The sequence below is a fragment of the Homo sapiens genome, chromosome 13 (genome assembly GCF_000001405.40).
Source record: "Homo sapiens chromosome 13, GRCh38.p14 Primary Assembly".
NCBI classification, from domain to species: domain Eukaryota; kingdom Metazoa; phylum Chordata; class Mammalia; order Primates; family Hominidae; genus Homo; species Homo sapiens.
This window is the reverse complement of record NC_000013.11, coordinates 51,433,139-51,455,288: the sequence shown is the minus strand read 5'-3', so window position 1 is coordinate 51,455,288 and position 22,150 is coordinate 51,433,139. Positions and strand designations below refer to the sequence as shown.

The following is a 22,150-nucleotide window of genomic DNA, read 5'->3' as shown; positions in this document are numbered from 1 at the left end:
GTACTATTCTACATGCACCTGTTGCTCCAACCTAGCTGAACTTCACTGTTCCTCAGGAAGCCCTCAGCAATGCTGTCTTAACTTCCTTTCTTCACATTTTCAATGTCGGGAAGATCTTTTCACTAGCAGCTTCCCCTTCCTTTACCCATATCCAAATCCTACCAGTCCTTTAAGACAGTGTTTCTTAAAACTGAATAATGAACAGACTCCTAAAATAAATTCTTATGATCCTAGAGAATGTTTTCAGTAGGCTGGGGTCCACAGACCAGTTTGAAAAGCACAAATATAAAGAACTAAAGAGCAATTGTATAAAATTATGCAAATGATCAAGTTGAAAGACAAATTTCATCTTTATAACTGGTAAAATAACTCGTATTTTGCCATAGAACTCTGATTCTTATCTTCAGATCTATGATCCGTTTAAGAAACACTAAGGCAAAGCTGAAACCTTGGAAAATGTTCCTGCATCACCCCAAGGTAATACATTTTTATTTTTTCTGATTTGGTGTCTAACAACTTTCTGCCTTGGAGTAGCTAGTAATATGTAGCATTTTCCTAGAAAACATAAGCTCTTTGAAGACAGGGACCACATTTTATTTATTTTTTATATGCACCACACCTAATACACAGTACATCCTCAGCAAGTACTGGCTGTAAAGCCTATATTCCATGCTCTTATTTTGTAGTCCAAATCACTTTAAAAATCACACTTCTTCTATTGTTCATACTCATAGAAGAGCATATTACTCAAATAGCTCTGCTATAAATTAACAGTAAGTTTCAGAAGTTATACCAAGTCACGAGACTCAGATTTTTAAAAAGTGCCACAAAGTGTCTCTTCTGTGTCAATGTTAATAGAACCCTTTCTTTAAATGATCAGTAGGCAAATTAAGAATTTCCGGATAAAGAACAAACTCTGGAAAAACAAAGCTAGTGGGAGAGGCCCTGTAAATACCTACCTAGTCTTACAAGGGCTGTCTCTAACTCAGCTTGTATTTTAGGCAGCGTCTTCAGTTTTTCAACTAATGTGTTTGAGAAAACTGTTTTCCTCGGACATGCAGGCGTGGACTCCTTACTTCAGGTAAGGTGACAGCAGCTTGACAGAGAGTGCCTTCCCTCCCACGGCATTTGGGACGAGGCTGAAGGAAAGACACAGGCGGGGTTACGGGAAACCCATTCTCTGCGCCATCTGGGCAAGCTGAAGTCAGTTTTTCCGCTTTCTCACGAGGTAATGGATTATCATGGGCTCAGGTCCCCTTCAGCTCTGAAACAGGTATTCTATGGCTCTAAGTAAACACGGCAAGAGACAGGTTATTTCTTTGGTAAGATCAGTTGTATTTCCCAGAGAATAAAACGGGCAACAAACCATTTATCGATATGTGAGTCTTCCCCCTAGGCCCTAGCTATTTGGGGTTGGATAAAGAAAAAGAGGGTTTGCTTCCTTTTTGGCGGGTCCTCCAATGACAGGGCTCCTGGCCCGCTGCGGGTCCAACTCCCACCTCTCGTGGCTCCCCCGAGGCCGAGCGAGGCTCCGTGCGAGGACAGCCCCTCAACCGCACTCCCCAGAGGGAGCGCTGGGACTCGCGGAGGAGATTAGTCCCCGGTCATAAACAACCTCTCACTTCCCCTCCCCCGCCCGCGCCCGCTCGCGCCGGGGCGGCGCGCCGGGGCGGCCCTCCGAGGCCCAGGAACCTCCTCCGGCGCCCGCGAGGCCCCGAGTCCTCCTCCGGAGGGCGGCTGCGGGCCTGCCCTCTTCTCCTAACCAGGTGTTTGTCCACTTTACTCAACCCTTCTTACTCGTCCACGCTACGGCCACCTCACAGGGGCGGCTGACGCCAGCCCCTTTTTCCCTCCCCTCGACCCCTATCACCTCCAACAGCCAAGGAGAGGCCGGCGGCCCTGACGCGCAGGCTCACCGCCGCGGCCGCCCCGCGCGCGCGGACGCGGCCCCCGCCCCCACCTCGCGGTCCTTCCGCAGTCCGGCCCCGCCCCTTCCCGAAGCCCGCCTCCGGGTCGGCCCGCCCGCCCGCTCGCGCGCACCCGACGCCCCGCCTCTGCGCGTGCTCAATAACTGTCCCCGGAGCCGGCCTACAAGCTTCCCCCGCCCCTGAGCTGTTTAAATATGCTAATGAAAGGATAGGGCCTGACCAGTAGAACGGCGAGGCGGTGTATCACGTGGCTCGGGGACGTGTCAGGGGCGGAGCCTCCGCAGCCCCTGCCCGAGTTAAAACCGGAGTGTGAGAGAGAAAAGCGCTTCAGTAGCGAGAGGGGCTGAGAAAGTGGTGACACCGCCGGGGTGCGGAGGGAGTCCCTGAAACTTCTCCCAACAGCCCCAGGGCCAATCTTCCCTCAGCCCACTCCCCTCTTCGCCAGCTCCCAGGTCCCCACTCCTGTACCGGGGGTGGGGTGGGGAGCCAGGCCCGTCTCCCGCTGGGACACACACAGGGGCCGGGAGCGGGGACGGGACCCCCGAGGCGGGGGGGACGAACCGACAGACAGACGGCTGGGCGCCCGCCCCAGCGGGCAGGCAGGCAGGAGGAGGCGGAGGCGGGGGTACGACGGGGAGCACTGGGTCTGGGGAGTTTCCTCTCAACTATCGGGGGAGAAACTCCCCGCAGCCGGAGGAAAGACCCAGACAGTGTTTTCCTCCCGGGGGCCGTGCTCCCCCGCCCCGCGTAGCGGCGGTCGCCGCCACCGGCGCCTCCACCTCTACCATCTCCTCTTTCTCCACCACCTCGGGCCCCGGTGTCCCCGGCCAGCACTATGCCCATCTTACTGTTCCTGATAGACACGTCTGCCTCTATGAACCAGCGCAGCCATCTGGGCACCACCTACCTGGACACGGCCAAAGGCGCGGTAGAGACCTTCATGAAGGTACCGACTGACCGAGCCCGGGCGGCGACCCCGGCCCGGCGGCCCGCGGGCGGCAGGGTGGGGGAGGGCGGCCGGGGCGGGGGTGTCGGGGACCTGACTGCGGGAGCTGCCGGGCTCGGGGACCCCCTCCCCCACCGCGCGGGCGGGCGGGCGCTGCGAGCCGGGTTCGGCCGGGGCCCGGGCTCCGGCCCCGGGCGGTGTGTGGGGAGCGATCTGTGTGTGGGGGACGGCGTGGAGGGGTGGCCGCTGCGTGTGCGGTACTGTGGGGGCGGCGGGGCCGCTGGGCGCCCCTTCTCCGCCTCGTAACCTCGCCTCTGTGCTTCCCTGTCGCCCGCCCTGTTCCTCCTCCCGTCCCGCAGCTCCGTGCCCGGGACCCTGCCAGCAGAGGAGACAGGTATATGCTGGTCACTTTCGAAGAGCCGCCCTATGCTATCAAGGTAACAGCCCTCGCCCTCCCCCTTTCCTCCCTTCCCTTCCCTGTTCCTTCCTCGCTCGCCCTCCCCGCCCCCCCATTCACCCTTCATTATGCTCCCCTCCCCCACCCGCTGCGCTCCCAGCCGCTGAGGTCTCTTCCCTGCGGGCTCCCACCCCCTCCCCCGCTCGGCAGCGTCCTAGCGCGGCGCGGAGTCGCGGGGCCACCGCCGTCCCCTCCCGGCCCGGCCCGGCAGCGGCGGCGGCGGCGGCGGCGGCGGCGCTGCTATCAACATGGCCGACATTTCCCCTCCGCGGCGTGAGCGGCAGCAATGAACTGTGGGGGATATTTATTCAAGTTAGCCGGAGTGACAGCCGGGCCCGGCCGCGCACAGCCCCGGTTTGCATTAAAGGGGAATCGGCCCGGCCGGCCCGGAAGCCAGATGCGGGGCTGCCAGGATTGGTCTTGTCAGATTCGTCCTAAGAGGGCCGGTGGGACAGCTGCAGGTTAACTTCCTAAGTCCGGCTCCCATCTGCTTCCACTAGTACCTTCACATACCCAAATTTTGGGTATTAGATTAGGTAGTAAATTTGTCAGTGAAGTTATAAAGTATTAAGGCAGTTAACTACCAAAACCTAGAGAGGAAGCTGGGTTATTCCTGGGCCACCTTTGGAAGAGAGTTTCCTCAGCAGCGGTACAGTATTAACACGTTAACCAAGCCAAACCAACCAAAAGTGAAGCTGCTACTTGGTGAACGTCAGATTATAACGGCTCTGTGTACATGGCTTTAAAAAATGAAAAAAAAAAATCTTACATTTTTCTTTTCAGGCTGGATGGAAAGAAAACCATGCAACGTTTATGAATGAATTGAAAAACCTTCAGGCTGAAGGACTTACGACTCTTGGCCAATCCCTAAGGACAGCTTTTGATTTATTAAATTTAAATAGATTAGTAACTGGCATAGACAACTATGGGCAGGTAGGTTGAATAATAAGGTGGCAAAATAGTTGATTTTTCATTTTGTGGAAAAACACAGTCCAGTCCAAAAACTACATAACATGAAATGCAAGTATAAAACATTCCAAATTAAAATAGAATATGCACATTGTTCAAAGGCAAAACTCTTACCCTACTATATATATTTTACATCCCTCATTTTTTCCCCCTCTAAAATGCATTGGTATTCAGGATTAGAATCTGAAACTTTTGCTATAAAGTTGACATACATTGGTTTTAATCCCTTGAAAGTTCAGTAAAGACCTAAAAGGAAAAGCATCCTACCACACCACACTCATGTTGTATGTGCAACTATTATAGTGGCTTAGAGACACTAGTTCGTGTTCTTCGTTTCTATATTAGTAAAGATGTTAGAGGAAATTAATCTGTTTGTTGCATCAGGGTTTAATGTGACCATGTTGTATAACTATTCTGAAAGGTAAGAAGTTTTTCACTGGAGTACAGTCACTGGCTGAGAACATTTAAGTTTTCTTTTGAAGCATACACAGTTAACAACTATTGCAGGAAGAACTCTGAATTAAATTTCAGGCCCAGAGTTTTGATTTAAACTCCAAACCCTTGGAAAAAAAGACTGCTGGAAAATATGAAAGAACCCTTCGTTTCTTAACCCCCACAAGTCCTTTTATTGCACTTACTTTCATGTATTTGAGGATGAGAGGAGCTTTAAATCAACAATAATTCACTAAGGAATAATGCAAGGTGGTCTATTGTAACATTTTATGATATTATTGCCCTGGAAATAAAAGATACTGAACAATGTATAATGTTACATGTAACAAAGGAATATTATTTCCAAGGAGCTCAGTTCTTATGTTGTAGTGAAAAGCACTATTCCTAATTATATATTGGGTATATGTTGTATTTTCCCAAGTCCCACAGTCCCTAGTTTTGTGAGTTTCGTACATTTCAGGGAAATTCTTTCTGTGACTACAACTTTTATTTGCTTCCTATTGAAGGAAATTGACTTGTTTCTGTTTTAGGAAATTTTAAGCTTCTTAGGGATAACTTCAGTGCTTAAGTGTCTTTGGAAATAACTGAATTTAGTTCTATAACATTTAAAATGTACACTGAAATTCAGAGTGAGCTTACCAAATTGAACTTCCAACGTTTAGTTAGGTAAATATGTACTTTCTTACCACATTAATACTTTTATGTTTTTCCCATCTCTGCTGCTTTTATTTTGCAACTTTTAATAATTTAGGTAGATTTGCAATGAACTTTTTGGTTTGTTTCTGTAAAATAGTAGTGGATTTCCTTCTCTTTTATATTCCTTTGTGATATGTAGTGCAACACAGTCTTACTGCTTAAGGTTTTCATCCTTACCTCTTTGAGTTCAAAGAGATATTTAAAACTTGCCATTATTTGGTTACCTTTATTTGGTTGTCATGTTGTTAGTGTATGGCAGAACTATTAGTTTCCTCTTTTTCTGCATCACATTTCATAAGTGGTCAAGGCATTTGGACATATTCACCTCCTATTACCTATTAAAAATACTTCTTAAAGATTGCTTCCTTCGAAAAACTGCTTGTCATGGAGAGGCTGAGGACATTTGTAATTTAAACCTGTATTTTCCTTTTCCCAGTTGATATCTGCCCCCAGAGAACACTTTAGTTCTTGTCTATAAGGCTTACCAAAAGTTTGCGGGAAAGGTGGTCCTGTGCTGTTACCACTTTGACCAAGAGAAGAACCTGGAGATTGGGATGTTTTTGCATGTCAGGATTTATTAATTCAATAACAGAGAGGGATGATGCTTCTCACTTATTCTGATGAATCAGCAAAGATTGCAAAGCATAATATTAATGCTTATGTCTTGAATTGGCACATTAAAAATGACACTAGCATTAAAATAAGCCACTGTTTTCAAATGAAAATGATAATTTGAGTAAAGAGTATTGAATTGGAAGAAAACATTCTTCCAGAAGATTTTTTTCATCATAAAACTATCTGATTTAAACATTTCATGTTTTCTATTCACAACAAGGATAAATGATTAGGAATTTTGGATGTCTCAAATATTTAATACTGAATATTGTTCATGTGTTTTCTTCTTTGTAAAAGTACTTTGTATCTGCCTGTTTGCTGTGGAATACTTTTATTTTGTAACTTCAATGTCTTTACATAAGTATTTCCCCTTTCCTGCTCTATACTAGGATCTGTGGTGTTCACAGTACTAAATACTTGTATGTAACGTTAGTAGTTGAAGGAAATGAGAAAAGATTAGGTGGAAGATAGAACGTATATATTTTATAGAACATCTAAAAACTTTAATGTTCTGAATTACTTTCTTAAATGTCTGGGTTAATATATATATTTGTATATTTATGTAGATATCCACCATTCTCCCACATATATGCACATATATGATTTTTCATAACTAATTACAAGACTATTAAATCTATATTGCATTTGTTAACTTAGTTAACATACCTACAGATAAAACATCTTTGAATTATTAGCTAGGATGCTATCAGAATTTGCAGGGCATTAGTAAGGTTAAGTAACTGAGAAAAAAGAATGGTTCTTAGTGAATGTTTTCCTCAAGCACTTTGGGTATCCCACTAAAAAATTCCATGCCTACAGACATTGTTATAAATATTTAATTTTGATAATCAGTACCATTTACTGATATTTCTACAGTAATGGAGCAATGTATAGCCTTTAGTCAATCTTTTCCTTTATAGCAGTACTTTAAGTTGCATATCATTGCAGATAAATTTGATACATAAGTTTTTCACGTGTGTTCAACAGAGTTTCAAATAATGCTGATCCTTTGAGACCTGCTGAAAGTCTGAAGCAGCCTTAATATCTAAAATTAGGAAATGTATAAAATGTGAGAGGTCTGATTAAAGTTTTATATGTAGATGAGTTAATTTTCTTATTGTTACAGGTCATCCTGTTTTCCATCAATATATATGTATATTTTTTTTGAGACAGAGTTTCTCTCTTGTTGCCGAGGCTGGAGTGCAGTGGCGCGATCTCGGCTCACCGCAGCCTCCTCCTCCTGGGTTCAAGCCATTCTCATGCTTCAGCCTCCTGAGCAGCTGGGATTACAGGCTTGAGCCACCATGCCTGGTTAATTTTGTATTTTTAGTAGAGACTGGGTTTCTCTATGTTGGTCAGGCTGGTCTCGAACTCCTGAACTCAGGTGATCTGCCCACCTTGGCCTCCCAAAGTGCTAGGATTACAGGCGTGAGCCACAGCACCCGGCCCGATATTTTCAACATTGTCTTTTTTTTTTTTTTTTTTTTTTTTCAGTAAATTATGTTAGTTAAGATTAGCCAATATATCTTTACTCTGGCCTGCAAGTCCGTTTTTGTTACTGACCTGATTCCACACCCCTGCTACCTGAAGTATGTTAGTACTGATTAAATTGTTCCAGGAGTTAGAATGGCACCTTTCCTACTATGTGCCCTTGGTGAAGACAATCCTTGACAGATATCTTAAAAGGAGATAAAATATGTGCTTAATTTTTTGAGGATTTTCTATGGTGAATGTTTACCTCATTGAAAAATGGTGGCTTTCGTACAATATCAAATTTAATGATTCTCAGGGAAAAGAATTTTAACCAATTTTATTTTTGAGCATAAAGGTCTATTTTGTAAACTTAGGAGATAATACAGTTATAGTTCTAATACTACTTTTTTTTCCCTTTACCTAAATAGTACCCATTTAATAGGTAGTGTGAAATACAGGCTTCTTTTTGAAGGCTGGCAGGTGAAGTAGTGAGAACTCCATTTCCATTTGGGTGCTTGGTTTCTCTTAGATTATCAACAAATGTATGAATAAGAGTTTGATATTTATTAAGCTATAGACATCTTTTCAAATGAAAGTAAGTTAATTACTATACCTGAAATACTGCTGTGTTGAATATAAACTGGAAACACAATGATGAATAGTATTTTGTAAATTTTTTAATTCCTTTAATTAAAATTTTTTTTTAAATTGTGGTAAGAAACACCTAACAAAATTTACCATCTTAACCATCTTTAAGTGTGCAGTTCAGTAGTGTTAAGTATATTCATATTGCTGTGCAACCAATATCCAGAACTTTTTTATCTTGCAAAATTGAAACTCTATATCAAGTAACTCCCAGTCCCTGGAAACCTCTATTCTACTTTCTGTTTTTATGAATTTGTCTACTCTGGATATCACAGTTAAGTGAAATCATACAGTATTTGCCTTTTTAGATGGGCTCATTTCACTTAGCATAATGTTCTCAACATTCATTTATATTTTAGCATGTCAGGATTTTTTCATCCTTTTTAAGGCTGAATAATACTCTATTGTATGTACCACATTTTGCTTATCCACATATCCATTGATAGTCACTTGGGTTGCTTCCACTTCTTGGCTGTTGTGAATAATGCTGCAATGAACATGGTTGTGTAAGTAACTTTTTGAGATCCTGCTTCCAGTTCTTTTGGATATATACCCTGAAATGAAATGACAGGATCATATTGTAATTCCATTTTAAATTTTTTGAGGAAGTACCATACTGTTTTTCATAGCAGTTGTACCATTTTACGTTCCTACCAACAGTGCACGAGGGTTACACTTTCTTTATATCTTCACTAACACAATTTTCTGTTTTACTTTGACATTAGCCATCCTATTGGGTGTGAGGTCGTATCTCATTGTGGTTTTTATTTACATTTTCCTAATAATTATTTATGTTAAGCATCAACATACGCTTGTTGGCCATTTGTACACTGTCTTTCGAGAAATGTTCATTCAAGTCCTTTGCCCGTTTTAAAATTGTTTTTTGTTGTTGAGCTTTAGGATTTCTTTATATTTTCTGGATATTAATCCCTTATCAGATAAATGATTTGCAAATATTTTCTCCCATTATGTAGTTTGCTTTTATACTCTGTTGTTTCTTCAGTGCACAAAATTTTTATTTTTGTATGGTCCAGTTACATATTTTTACTTTTATTGCCTGTGCCTTTGGTGTCATCCACAAAATCATTGCTAAATCCAATGTCACTGAAGCTTTTCTCCTGTGTTTTAAGAGTTTTATAGCTTTAGATCTTCTGTTTAGATCTTTAATCTATTTTGAATTAATTTTTGTATATGGTATAAGGTAAGGGTCCAACTTCATTCTTTTGCATGTGGATATCCAGTTTTTCCACCACCATGTTGAAGAGACTTGCCCTTTCCCATTTGAATGGTCTCTGCAAATCCCTGAACTTTTGAGCCTCAATAATTTTTGTTGGTGGAGAGGGCACTCTCCTGTCAAACTTGCTTAAATGTTTTTTCCCCATCTTTATTGTGTAAAAGAAGAGCAGTGGCTAGAAATGTGAGAATTGGAATCCCAATCTTGGCCTCGCCATTGAATTATTATGTAACATTGAGCATTCACATTACTATTTTGAGCCTCTGCTACTTCTTATTCCAAGTTGGCAATAATGAAGCCATTGTACCTTTAATATAGAATTGTTGAGAGGTTTAAATGGGATGATATATTTAAAATGTACCTTATTAGGATGTCTCACTAGACAAAAGCATCCTTTTCCTCCAAAAGATTAGTATGTTTACCTCTAGTTTTCTATTTTTTTCAGCTTTAATTTTGAAATTAAAATTATAAAAATCTTCAAAGCTGATTATTACATGCTTTAAACATCTATTAGTATCACGAAGTATATGTTTTTCTTTGGGCTTTGTATTGTATCCCAGAAAAGCAGGTGTGAAAGAAAATTAATATAACTTGGCCAAAGTTGTCTCAGTGGCATTTAATAAGCATAGGATGATGTTTTTAAAGAAGTGTTAAAACAATTTAAATAATTTAGCAGATAAGTCAGAAAGTCATTCTTTTGCAAGAATACTTATGTGAAAAAAGCACATGCCTTAGGATTCTTTCAAATAGGGAGCTCCCCCTAGTGCGTTTTAGATGAGATTTACACAAGTTTGATTTGCAGGGAACCTTTTAGGAGCACATATGTTGGGTAAATCAAGGGATAGTTTAATAAGATTTAACTGAGCTCAAAGTAGTACAAAATGGATATGATTTATTTCCTATAGAGCATTAATTTAATGGTGGTATAATTTAAATGAGAAGGAATATCCCCAAACCCAGATTTTATTTTCTTTTAAAACATTTGCAAAATATTTCTTCAGAATTTTATACTCTAAAACTGTTTTCTAAAAGAAAAAATTCTCCAGTCATGATCTGAAAAAAAAAAAAAAAAGAAAAATGAAAAACACTATCCTAAGGATGTTATTGCATTCTTTTTTTTTTTGGGATAGAGTTTCACTCTTGTTGCCCAGGCTGGAGTGCAATGGCGTGATCTTGGCTCACTGCAACCTCTGCCTCCCGGGTTCAAGCCATTCTCCTGCTTCAGCCTCCTGAGTAGCTGGGATTACAGGCTCCCGCCACCACCCTCGGCTAATTTTTGTATTTTTGGTAGAGACGGGGTTTCGCCATGTTGGCCAGGCTGGTCTGAAACTCCTGACCTCAGGTGATCCGCCCACCTCGGCCTCCCAAAGTGCTGGGATTTACAGGCGTGAGCCACCGCCCCTGGCCATTATTGCATTCTTAATTAGAAATTGTTCAAAACAAATCTTAAATACAAAAGTCAAAAATAGGCCGGGTGCCATGGCTCACACCTGTAATCCCAACACTTTGGGAGGCTAAAGCAGGTGGATCACTTGAGGTCAGGAGTTTGAGACCAGCCTAGACAATGTGGTGAAACCCCATCTCTACTAAAAAAAAAAAAAAAAAAAAAAAAAAAAAAAATTAGCTGGGGGGTGGTGGCATGTGCCTGTAGTCCTAGCTACTCAGGACTCCTGGAGTCCTGGTTGGAGGATTGCTTGAACCCCGGAGGTGGAGGTTGCAGTGAGCTGAGATGGTGCCACTGCACTCCAACTTGGGCAATAGGCTGTCTCAAAAAAACAAAACAAAACAAAAACAAACAAAAAACCAAATAATATATTCTACTTTAAAGAGCATTTTACTTTCTTTCGATATAGGAGAATATCGATAATTATGTATTATATACAGCTGGAAATTAAAAGATCAGGAACAAATCTAATATTTGACATCATTGGACTTATTTGTGTATTTTGAATTAAGGTCATTTGTGGTCAAAATTAGTTAAAAGGATTGTTTATTTAGTCATGTTCATGTCATAGATTTCTACAAAGAGATTATATAGTATTTTATAGCTTGAAATGTTTCTCAAATATATAAAATGATTTTTGGCCATAATAACCTTGACTCAGATTTATACTCTACAATTAAATTAGTCTTGGTGGACTTTTCTTGTTTTTTGGGGCTTTTTAATTTTAAAAATGTTTAGATACAAAGTCTCTCTGTGTTACCCAGGCTGGTCTTGAACTCCTGGGCTCAAGCAGTCTTTCCACCACGCCTTCGGAGTAGCTGGGACTGCAGGCTCTTGCCATTGTACTCAGCTTAAAAAAGTAATTTCCTTATATAAACTTTATTTTTGTTTAGTCTTACTATTAGTCTATAAAAGTTTACCATGGTTGCCAGACTTTAAACAAAATACTAAATTTTTAAAAAATTTTGTTTTGGTTTGTATTTTCTGATCTCTAACATTTTTATTGAGATGTAACTTAAATAAACAAATCTGAAGTGTGAAGCTTAGTGAATTTTAAAATATACACTCTTAAAAAAATTGAACATTTGCATCTACTGACAAGTTTTCATTAAACTTTCTGTGTTTTATTATTATTTTCATAGGGCTTTAGAATGGAAGTGATTTTAGAAGTTTACTCAATTTTCCTCATTTTGTAGGTGAAGAAAAGGCATAGAAAGGTTCAGAGGCTTAATTTCTTCACATTTATGAAATATTTTTAAAAATTGTAATTGGTGATAGAACAGTTATGGAGATTTTATTAAGGATTTGTATATTATTTAATAACATTTTATTTAAATGTATAAGCAGTGGATCTGAGTTGCTTTCTTCAGTTTTGTGTATAGTTCTGTAATGCAGTATGATTTCTTTCAGTTCTTGTTTGAAAGCTAAGCTTTTCATTTTGTCTCTGTTACATTTAGTCTTTCTTGTAACATTCTATCTAAATACTGTTTGTTACAAAATTAGCTTTAGTTGGATTCCTTCCTCCCTTTGTTTGGCAGAAAGTAAATGAATTTAGGGCAGCGGTCCCCAGCCTCTTTGGCACCAGGCTGGTTTTGTGGAAGACAGTTTTTCCATGGATTGGTAGAGGTGGTTGGGATGGTTTCAGATGAAACTTTTCCACCTCAGGTCATCAGGCGTTAGAGTCTCATAGGAGCGCATAACCTAGACCCCTTGCATGCACAGTTCACAACAGGGTTTGTGCTCCTATGAGAATCTAATGCTGCTGCTGATCTAACAGGAGGCGGAGCCCCAACGGTAATGCTCACTTGCCCACTGCTCACCTTCTGCTGTGCCACCCATTCCTGATGGGGTCCAGGGGTTGGGGACCCCGATCTAGGGGATAAACCAGGAAAGACTTCTTAGAGGTAGTAGCATCTGAAGAATAAAAGTTTACTGAGAACCCAGAACCCTTGCAGGTTAGGGGGCAATGCAGAGTGAAGATCATGATCAATGGCCAGATGCGATGGTTCATGCCTAGTAATCCCAGCACTTTGGGAGGCTGAGGTGGGTGGATCACCTGAGGTCAGATGTTCGAGACCAGCCTGGCCAACATGGTGAAACTAAAAATACAAAAATTAGCTGGGCATGGTGGCGGGCGCCTGTAATCCCAGCTACAGGCACCCTCAGGAAGCTGAGGCAGGAAAATCGCTTGAACCCAGGAGGCAAAGGTTGCAGTGAGCTGAGATTGCGCCATTGCACTCCAGCCTGGGCGACAAGAACGAAACTTCATCTCAAAAAAAAAAAAAAATCATGGTCAAAAACATAGGAGAGGCTGTCCCTGTGGCTCACACCTGTAATCCCAGCACTTTGGGAGGTTGAAGAGGGAGGATCACTAGAGGCCAGGAGTTCAAGACCAGCCTGGCCAACCTGGTAAAACTCCATCTCTGCCAAAAACACAAATATTAGCCAGGCATGGTGGTGCACGCCTGCAATCCCAGCTACTCAGGTGGCTGAGGCAGGAGAGTCACTTGAACCTAGGAGGTGGAGGTTGCTGTGAGCCAAGATTGTGCGACTGCACTCCAGCCTGGGTGACAGAGTGGGAATCTGTCTCAAAAAAAAAAAAAAGGCTGGAGGTGGGGAGGCCTGGGGACGTATGGGATAGTTGACAGGATTTTATACTGTAATTACTTTAAGGCCTAGATTCTAATAACATACATAAGTATTTAATGGCACTTTTTGGTTTTGTGCTTCATACTTTAAGTTTCTGATGTGTAGCTAGTTAATATAGAGCTATTAACCTTGTTCATTAGTCAATTTTTCCAATGTAGTATGCCAACCAGTATTAGGGTTACATTTATAACTTTTTTCCTGGAGAGTTGATGAGTTAACTACCATATTTTCATTTAACTTAAGGTAGTTTTGAAAATTTCTAAGCATTATATCTTAAGATTCAGAAAAATAAGACCAGATCCACTTATGAATTTCCATTCCACTCGTGACCTGACAAGTCGTATAACCTCTCAGCCTCACTTTCCCCATTAGACAAATAGAATGAAAAGACCTATCTTGCAGAACTGTGATAAAGATTAAGGAATGTACAACATAATTTATTATTGTAACACAACCTATTAATCATTTTTATGTATTTTCTCTTATTTGAATTTTAAAAATTGAAATTATGGGGTACTAGAGGTTTTTTTAATCTTGCTTTTTTCAGAACAAGCAGCATGGTGGTATGGAAAGAACTGCTGTATTAGAACTGGCTGTGCCTGGTTCTGTCACTCACTAGCTTATATTGTATTGAAAAGTCCCTTAATCTCTCTGAGCATCAAGTTTCTCATCCATAGAATTGTGATTATACCAATGCTTAAATTTTGTGAGGATTAGAAGTAATATTTGTTAATCATCTAGCAAAAGTGCCTGCCTGGCATATGGTAGGGGCTCATTTATGATGATGATCATCATCTCCAGTATTACGGTAAACACTTAACAGGATAAAAGCTTTTTAGTCTGAAACCTTTGACAAAAACAGAATTAAGGTTGTTCCATAACCTATCATACAGTTATGTATCGCTTAACAATGGAGATAGGTTCTGAGAACTGCACCATTAGGCAGATCTGTTGTGGGAACATCATAGAGTATACCTACAGAAACCTAGATGGGATAGATGACTATACCCCTAGGCTATATGGTATATGACCCATTGCTCCTAGGCTATACATCTACCTGTATAGCATGTAACTGTACTGATTGCTCTAGGCAGTTTTAACACTTACAAGCATTCATGTGTCTAAACAGATATAAACATTGACAAATACAGTAGAAATATGGTATGAAAGATAAAAAATGGTATACCTAGATAGGGCACTTACCATGAATGTAGCTTGAGGACTGGCAGTTGCTCTGGGTGGGTGAGTGAGTTCGTGATGAGTGAAGTGAAGGCCTGGGACAGTACACTGCTGTAGACTTTATAAACTGTACACTTAGGCTACACTAAATTTATTAAAAAATTTTCTCCAATAATAAATTAACCTTAGCTTACTGTAACTTTATAAACTTCTAAAGTTTTAAAACTTTTTAACTCTTTTTAGTAAGATTTAAGATACAAACATAGCTGTATAAAATATTTATATCCTTATTCTGTAAGCTTTTTTCTATTTTTAAAATTGTTATTTTTTTAAAAACTTTTTTTTTTTTTGAGATGGAGTCTTGCTATGTCACCCAGGCTGGAGTGCAGTGGCTCGATCTCTGCTTACTGCAAGCTCTGCCTCCTGGGTTCACGCCATTCTCCCGCCTCAGCCTCCTGAGTATCTGGGACTACTGCCACCACACCTGGCTAATTTTGGTGGTTTTTTTGTATTTTTAGTAGAGACGGGGTTTCACCGTCTTAGCCATCATGCTCTCCTGACCTCCTGATCTCCTGACCTCATGATCCGCCCGCCTCGGCCTCCCAAAGTGCTGGGATTACAGACGTTAGCCACTGCACTGGCCTTTGTTAAAAACTAAGACTTACACTCATTTTTCTAGGCGCACACAGGGTCAGGATCATTAAGATGTCAGGAGGTGATAGGAATTTTTCAGCTGTATTATAATCCTACAGGACCACTGTCATGTATATGGTGGTCTGTCATTGGCCAAAACATTATGTGATGTCTTACTGTACATCCATCATGAGAAGCCATAAGTAGCTATCCAGTTTTTTCTGGCTAAAGTAATTTTCAAAGCAAGAAAGGTTTTAAACTTCTTTGAGAAAATTTAGAGTTTATTTCTAGGACTTTGTATATTTTAGAATTCACGTTGGTGATGGTTGGGATGGGGGTTTAGGGGAGGTGCTCTCCTCCAGAAGAAAAGTCAAGTGTAAAATATATAATTCCTTTTATTTGTCGTGTAGATTTGTGTAGGAAAAGACATAATAGGATAGGCCTAGGAAGAATTTTTTTATATGAAGATTTTTTTTTGAAGGGCATATATAATTGGAAATTGATTATTGGTATATGGAGAGAGAGAATTGTACATGAAAAGTACTATAACTTAAAAAACCTTACAGTTAAGAGGATTAGTTGTAACCAAAGGACAAATTTATGTCAGTCTAGTGATTAGTCCTATCAAAAATTATTCTAGCTTTCATATAACCTGTTTTTTATTGCCTGTTTTATCTGTGACATGTTGACATCTTCCTTCTATTAGTTTTTGCCCAAATGAGGTGTGGGACTCCTAGTGAAGGTCCTTGGAAGGATTATATTTTCTATAAAACTTTATTAGGGACATGATAACAGTTCTGAATATGTGAGAAAAAGTAATTGTATACTATTAGGTGATGCAGTTTGTAGCTAGGAAATGACAGAGTTGATGCTGGTGTGTCAGAGTAAAACTTTCCCTTTGTCTTAAAGCGAGTGAACCTTGTTAGGTACTAGGAAACAACAACAGTCTTTTGGTTATTCTGGGGTTTCAACACTGGAAATATCTAATAACAGAATTATTCTGAAATAATTGAAAACTATTTTAAATAAGGAATTGAAGATAATTGAATATGCAGTGTGAAAGGTCAGGCTGCAAGTGACAGTGGGTGATGTTGCAAGACAATGACAAGGTACAGTGCTTTTGGATTATCAGGAATTAGCAAAATGATGTCTTGGTGTCCTCTGGTAATTTCTGAGTTGTGAACTATCTTGCTTATTTATATACTTTGGCAGGTAATGAAATAATGAATGTAAAATTTTGAATTTTGTGTAATCACATTTCTTAAACCAATAAGTTAGAAAGGAAAACCAAGAGATTGCATCCACAAGATCAGGCCTAAATAGGTAGTAGAAAGAATAGAAGGTCTTTATTTTAAATTTTATTTTTAATTCAGAATGGGCAGTGTCTAATCACAAATGAGATTATAGTGAATGTAAATCTTAATGTAACAAAGGATTATCTTGCCATGTTCTTAAAGTTTCCATTTTAATGAGCTTTAGTAACATTCTAAAACATGTAGCAATCTGTGCAGTCATCCGTATGTGACATCTGCTTCTTCATGAAGTGCATTTCTAAGGTAAAACTATTGGTTTATTTGTATGTATAGTTAGGAAGGCTTATAAAACTTTTTTTTTTTTAATGATAGGCACAAGTATTATGTAGTTAGATTTTTTTTGTTTCTGGAAAATGTTATCTACTTTGAAAATTTTAAATCTATAAACACTTGGGAAGGTGTTTAGCACAAGCATCAATAAATGTTTCAATCAGAATCTAGCAAGAAAGGATTCTTAGAAACTTTTACTCCTGTACATGTACTGTGTAATGGATTTAGAGAAATTTGTTTCCTCCTAAAAAATCTTAGCAATGTTGGGTTAGTACCATTTCTTTCCTTGAAAACAAAAAAATCCACATTTTTTACGAACCAGGGCCCCTTAAAACTAATCTCACATTATGTCTTTTTTTTAATTATTATTGTTTTTGAGACACAGTCTTGCTCTATCGCCCAGGCTAGAGGGCAGTGGCATGATCTTGGCTTACTGTAATCTCTGCCTCCCAGGTTCAAACAATTCTTGTGCCTCAGCCTTCCCAGTAGCTGGGATTACAGGCAAGTGCCACCACACCTGACTAATTTTTGTATTTTTAGTAGAGACAGTGTTTCAACATGTTGGCCAGGCTGGTCTGGAACTCCTGACCTCAAGTGATCCTTCTGCCTCAGCCTCCCAAAGTGTTGGATTACAGGTGTGAGCCATCACGCCCGGCCTCACATTATGCCTTACCCAATTATTTTCAGATTGGCCTTCAGCCATAGCATATGGGAAACAATATACTGTTAGAGTTTTCCAAGTGCTTTTCATGAATTTTTTTTCCCTTTTTAAAATTTAATGCTTTATTGCTAACTTTCCTGATCTGAAACATTTATTAGGCAGTTCTTCATTTTCAGTTGTAGCCTTTAAGATATTTATATAGAAGGCTGTCATAGAATGCCATCTTCTTTTGTAGGACAGTTGTGTGTGTGAATTGATTTTTTTTTTTTGAGACCATATTTGTAGTGTGATGTGTAGAAGGAAGTAACCAGAATGGTTTTATCTGCTTCTTTGCCCTACATTCAAGGTCTGCTTGTGATAGTATTTAAAATTGAGTTCAGTGCTGAGTTCAAGATGGGATTTAACCAGACTTTTACAAAGGTAGCATCTGTAGATTTTGTAGCAGTCTACTCAAGGAGGTGATTAATCTTGAGAGACTAGACAGATTTCTTTTAGGTCAAATTAAATTTTACCATTATTGCTGTATAACTCCATTCACCTATCTTTGAAAATATGTTTACATCTTGGTTTTTATTTATACGTTTATTTTTAAAAAACATATTTCTAACATGTTTTTTATTACATGCTTCACTAGAATAAAATTTTCCCAAGTTATTATTACCCAGTTTATCCTGAAATCTTAGCCTCAGGCAGTCCTCCCACCTCGGTCTCCCAAAGTGCTAGGATTACAAGTGTGAGCCACCGTGCCTGGCCCCAGTCCATCTAATGTATGTATTAGATTCTTAGAATATTACTATTTATTAAGTAAAGTTATATTTCTGATAGCTTAATTACTCCTTATATGACAGCATAAACACTATTTGCCTGGCACTACTTTTTAGGCATTCCCCAGACCAGTTTGTTAATTTCATTCAAACTTTAGATTCCAGTTCAAGTATAAAACTCAAATTCTGCCAAATTATTAATATTTCAGATATATTGAGTTTATATTATCGTCTTTTGTAGTTATACTTAGTCTTATCAATTATTGAATTTCCCTAATGTTATTATTATTTTTTTTTACAAAGTCAAACTTTAGTGATTCTGCAGTTCTTATGGTGACTTACGATTTCTTACATTATTACTCTTCAGTCTATTATTAAATCAAATTCCAGGATGGAGTTCCTTAGTCGTTACATTAAAACAGATATATGGAACTCCCCCCTACTTTTGCTTAAGTCATAGTATTCCATCTGTTTTTAATGCTGTTGTATTTTTAACATAAGGAATTACGTGGTTGAATAAAGGAATTGTATCGGAACACAGTCGTGTAACGGAGTTACTTGAAACTAAAAATATATTTCTTATACTGTGGAATTCTAACATGTTTTCTGTAGCTGTAGACCTTAATGTATTCTGTTACCAGATTTTTATATTCTAGCAGATTTTATTTTAGAATACCAAACACATTTTTAATTTTGAAGAGTATTTGTTTTGAACATATAATAAATGCACATGGTTAAAAAAAAGTTGAAGTATTATAAAAAGTTACCCAATTGTTTACTTCCTTTCTATGGAGGCAACCATGGCTAATCAGTTTCTAACGTATCCTTCAGAGATCTTTTTTATGTGGTCAAAGGTTTTACAAGGGTTAATGTCTTAAGATGAATATTTTAGAGTTTGACATCAAAAGACTCATTTATACTACACTACCTGAGATTTTAACAATAAAAATAATAATCTTACTGAAATCTAAAACAAATGTGAAATTTGTAATTCTGGCCTTGGAATATTGATTTAAATATAAGCATGTTAGGCCTTTATTGACTTAAGTAATTCTGTTTTGTTTGTAATATGTTATTACCCAGTTTGTGTATTTATCCCTATAATTTAATGAACCTCCTCCACCTTTAAAAAAATTAACAGTATTAATGACAATGAATTATTGACTTGACAAACATGATTAGCACATCAGAAGATTTTATGACCCGTTTAAGGGTAAGGTAGCATTCCTATGCCCCTCCTCCACTACATTTTCAGTTTCTTAGGTAAGTGAAAATAATTGTTTTCCTGAGATCAGGTTAGTTTATATTTGGAGGAAATTACCTTTTCTTAGTATTTTCAAAATTTTTTTTCAAAATTTGTTGTAACATTGCAAAAGCATTTTCTTTCAAAAATAACATAGGTTATAATAGATAATATCTGTTTACATTAATTCTTTAAATTTTCTTATTATTGAGATTTTATGCTTTAACTGAGTAATTTAACACCATGGTAATTGGTTGTTGAGAGAACTATAATAGGAAATTTTAAGTGAAGTAAAAGGTTTTGCTTTATATTATCTTGTGGCAGAACTCTTACTTGAGGTTTTTGACCAAAATTAAAATGAAAAATTTTTAATGACAGATTGACTCCTGTTAGTAAGTAGCTCTAGAGCTAGAACATTATATTTTGCATTATATTTTCTAGTGATATGTTTGGATTTCTTTATGACAGGAACCACTGCTCTGAGAGTAAAACGTGAATTTATTCTGCTAATAGCAAAAGTAAACTTTTAGTCCCTCTACTGGCTGTCTTTGTTGTAGCAGAGCTTAGATTTTTTTTTTGTTTTAAATATATCATTATAATTATGATAAAGGCTACTTATAACTTTATGGCCAAGGTGAATATTGACAGAACTTCTAAAGGATTGTCTCCCAACTGAGTGACTTTATAAACATACTTACTTAGGAATAACAATGTAAAATAATTGCTCTTAAATATAAGGATTTGGGAATTATTAAATTGCGTAGGCTTGACACCAGATAGTGAATAACATTATATTGCAGTAATTAAGTTGTAACTCTCATTTAGACTTTGGAGGTGTTAAAACTTTATTTTTTTGTAAAACATGACAAAAAACAATACTGGCAGACAACTAAAACTTTTTTAATTTGCTGGGTAAACAATGTTGACAGAGAAAGATGACATTATGCAGCAACAAAACAGTGCAAAACAGTATATAAGAAAACTTTCTTGGAGCTACATGTTCACTTTCTGCTAGTGATGTAGAAATTCATGCTTAAATAAATTTGTTAATGTCAAACATTTATATAATAGAGATGGGGGCACATTTTTCCTGAAGAAATAATAAAACAACCTTGTGTGTATAAATTACATTAACTTAATCATTATTCTAATTTTTGTAGTAACTGATTATTGCTTTTCTTAGTGTGATTCTTGACTAAGCTCTTTAATCTTAGAGGGGAAAGAATCTTAGGCATGGCGGGATAATTGGTACAATGAGGATGATAATAATATTTTTCTTTTTTCTTTTCTATGTTTGATCTTTATCTGACTTTTCCAAAATTTAAAGTCACTAAAGAACTTATTATTTTATCTTGTGTTTGTGTATATACTCTCTGAAAGTTGAAGTTATATTGTTTTTAAAAGTAAACATTAGTATATATTGTGTTTTGTTTCAGTGTGTGTTGGGGGAAGATACACTGATTTTATACATCAAGAAATTAATGGCTAAGTAATTACAGAATCACAGGAATCTACCAAGTAAAGGAATAGTTTTACTATAGTTAATTTTATTGCAGAAAGGATATATTAAAAACAAAACAATCTGATTATAATGCCATTCCTTGTTGGGTAAATATGGCACAATCCAGGTTAGTATGGAATTATGTCCAAGAGAATTTAGCAGCTGCCAATAGGACCTCCAGGTGGTACAGAAAGACCATGTGGATTTTAGAATTAGAATAGCTTAATAAGGTTCTGGCTTTGCCACCATCTAGGCCACCTTGAGTTATATCATTTAATCTCCCTGAATATTTTACCTCACTAAGTTTTTTTAGGGTCAAATGAGATAAGTGCTTTATTGTTATTATCAAGACGATAGCAGTAATGTTATTGTTATTATAGTAATTTCAGGCCCGTTTAAGGGTATCCTCTGTGGAGAGTATTTTGTGTAAGACTAGTCAAGTTTCAACTAAAAGCTTTGTTTTGTTGTCTAAGAAAAAGTAACTTTGGTTTTAGTGTTTGAATTTAGCTTAATTAAATTTAATAACTCAGACTTTCTGTTAAGTTTTAATATATTTTAACTTAATTTTGTAGACATGGGCCTTTAAAAAGTATTACCTTTCGGGTGGATGTCATCATCTATATGAGTCTGCTACATGGTAGATTATTTTTCTTTAATTAGAAGTATGATTAATCTCTTGCCTCTGAAAGATAATTCTAAGTGTGCTTATACAGGAATAAAAGTGAATGGGTGTCAGACTTTTGGTCAGAAAATCTGATTTCTTTTTTTGAGACGGAGTCTCACTCTGTCGCCCAGGCTGGAGTGCAGTGGCACGATCTTGACTCACTGCAACCTCCACCTTCTGGGTTCAAGGGATTCTCCTGCTTCGGCCTCCCGAGTAGCTGGGCACTACAGGCATGTGCCACCACACTTGGCTAATTTTTGTATTTTTTCATGGAGACGAGGTTTTTCACAGTGTTTCCTAGACTGGTCTCGCAGTCCTGACATCAAGTGATCCGCGTACCTTGGCCTCCCAGAGTGCTGGGATTACAGGCATGAGCCACCACTCCCAGCCTGATTTTGTTTTATGTTAAAATG

At 38.7% G+C, this 22,150-nt stretch overlaps 1 protein-coding gene and 1 long non-coding RNA gene across 10 annotated transcripts in view, besides 9 other annotated features; one reads left to right on the top strand and one right to left on the bottom strand.

Moving 5' to 3' along the window:
• Positions 1–572: 572 nt before the first annotated feature.
• Positions 573–1,944, bottom strand: INTS6-AS1 (INTS6 antisense RNA 1). The gene is made up of 2 exons (NR_103812.1): positions 1,871–1,944; positions 573–1,286 (listed from the first exon to the last, which is right to left on the bottom strand). It is a non-coding gene; the product is annotated as an INTS6 antisense RNA 1 (long non-coding RNA).
• Positions 1,488–1,807: a silencer, noted in NCBI's record as "silent region_5374". NCBI's record gives its function as "represses an Ori minimal core promoter by ATAC-STARR-seq in GM12878 lymphoblastoid cells {active_cell/tissue: GM12878}" and the evidence as "EXISTENCE:reporter gene assay evidence [ECO:0000049][PMID:35858748]".
• Positions 1,898–2,097: a silencer, noted in NCBI's record as "silent region_5373". NCBI's record gives its function as "represses an Ori minimal core promoter by ATAC-STARR-seq in GM12878 lymphoblastoid cells {active_cell/tissue: GM12878}" and the evidence as "EXISTENCE:reporter gene assay evidence [ECO:0000049][PMID:35858748]".
• Positions 2,218–2,267: an enhancer, noted in NCBI's record as "active region_7773". NCBI's record gives its function as "activates an Ori minimal core promoter by ATAC-STARR-seq in GM12878 lymphoblastoid cells {active_cell/tissue: GM12878}" and the evidence as "EXISTENCE:reporter gene assay evidence [ECO:0000049][PMID:35858748]".
• Positions 2,253–22,150, top strand: part of INTS6 (integrator complex subunit 6) — a 118,632-nt gene continuing 98,734 nt past the window's right edge. For 7 of the 9 annotated variants that reach the window (XR_007063673.1, XR_007063676.1, XR_007063675.1 and 4 more), the window contains exons 1-3: positions 2,253–2,874; positions 3,234–3,311; positions 4,115–4,264. Coding sequence is in view for 4 of the 9 variants with exons in the window: in XM_011535040.4 (XP_011533342.1) it covers positions 2,764–2,874; positions 3,234–3,311; positions 4,115–4,264 (339 nt within the window). In the remaining 5 variants the exon portion in view is untranslated. Of the gene's footprint in view, positions 2,875–3,233; positions 3,312–4,114; positions 18,866–22,150 lie in introns of those variants that run through there. The other 2 variants (NM_001039937.2, NM_001039938.2) reach the window with 2 other exon arrangements.
• Positions 2,328–2,587: a silencer, noted in NCBI's record as "silent region_5372". NCBI's record gives its function as "represses an Ori minimal core promoter by ATAC-STARR-seq in GM12878 lymphoblastoid cells {active_cell/tissue: GM12878}" and the evidence as "EXISTENCE:reporter gene assay evidence [ECO:0000049][PMID:35858748]".
• Positions 2,828–3,097: a silencer, noted in NCBI's record as "silent region_5371". NCBI's record gives its function as "represses an Ori minimal core promoter by ATAC-STARR-seq in GM12878 lymphoblastoid cells {active_cell/tissue: GM12878}" and the evidence as "EXISTENCE:reporter gene assay evidence [ECO:0000049][PMID:35858748]".
• Positions 3,108–3,227: a silencer, noted in NCBI's record as "silent region_5370". NCBI's record gives its function as "represses an Ori minimal core promoter by ATAC-STARR-seq in GM12878 lymphoblastoid cells {active_cell/tissue: GM12878}" and the evidence as "EXISTENCE:reporter gene assay evidence [ECO:0000049][PMID:35858748]".
• Positions 3,238–3,377: a silencer, noted in NCBI's record as "silent region_5369". NCBI's record gives its function as "represses an Ori minimal core promoter by ATAC-STARR-seq in GM12878 lymphoblastoid cells {active_cell/tissue: GM12878}" and the evidence as "EXISTENCE:reporter gene assay evidence [ECO:0000049][PMID:35858748]".
• Positions 3,448–3,607: a silencer, noted in NCBI's record as "silent region_5368". NCBI's record gives its function as "represses an Ori minimal core promoter by ATAC-STARR-seq in GM12878 lymphoblastoid cells {active_cell/tissue: GM12878}" and the evidence as "EXISTENCE:reporter gene assay evidence [ECO:0000049][PMID:35858748]".
• Positions 3,668–3,717: a silencer, noted in NCBI's record as "silent region_5367". NCBI's record gives its function as "represses an Ori minimal core promoter by ATAC-STARR-seq in GM12878 lymphoblastoid cells {active_cell/tissue: GM12878}" and the evidence as "EXISTENCE:reporter gene assay evidence [ECO:0000049][PMID:35858748]".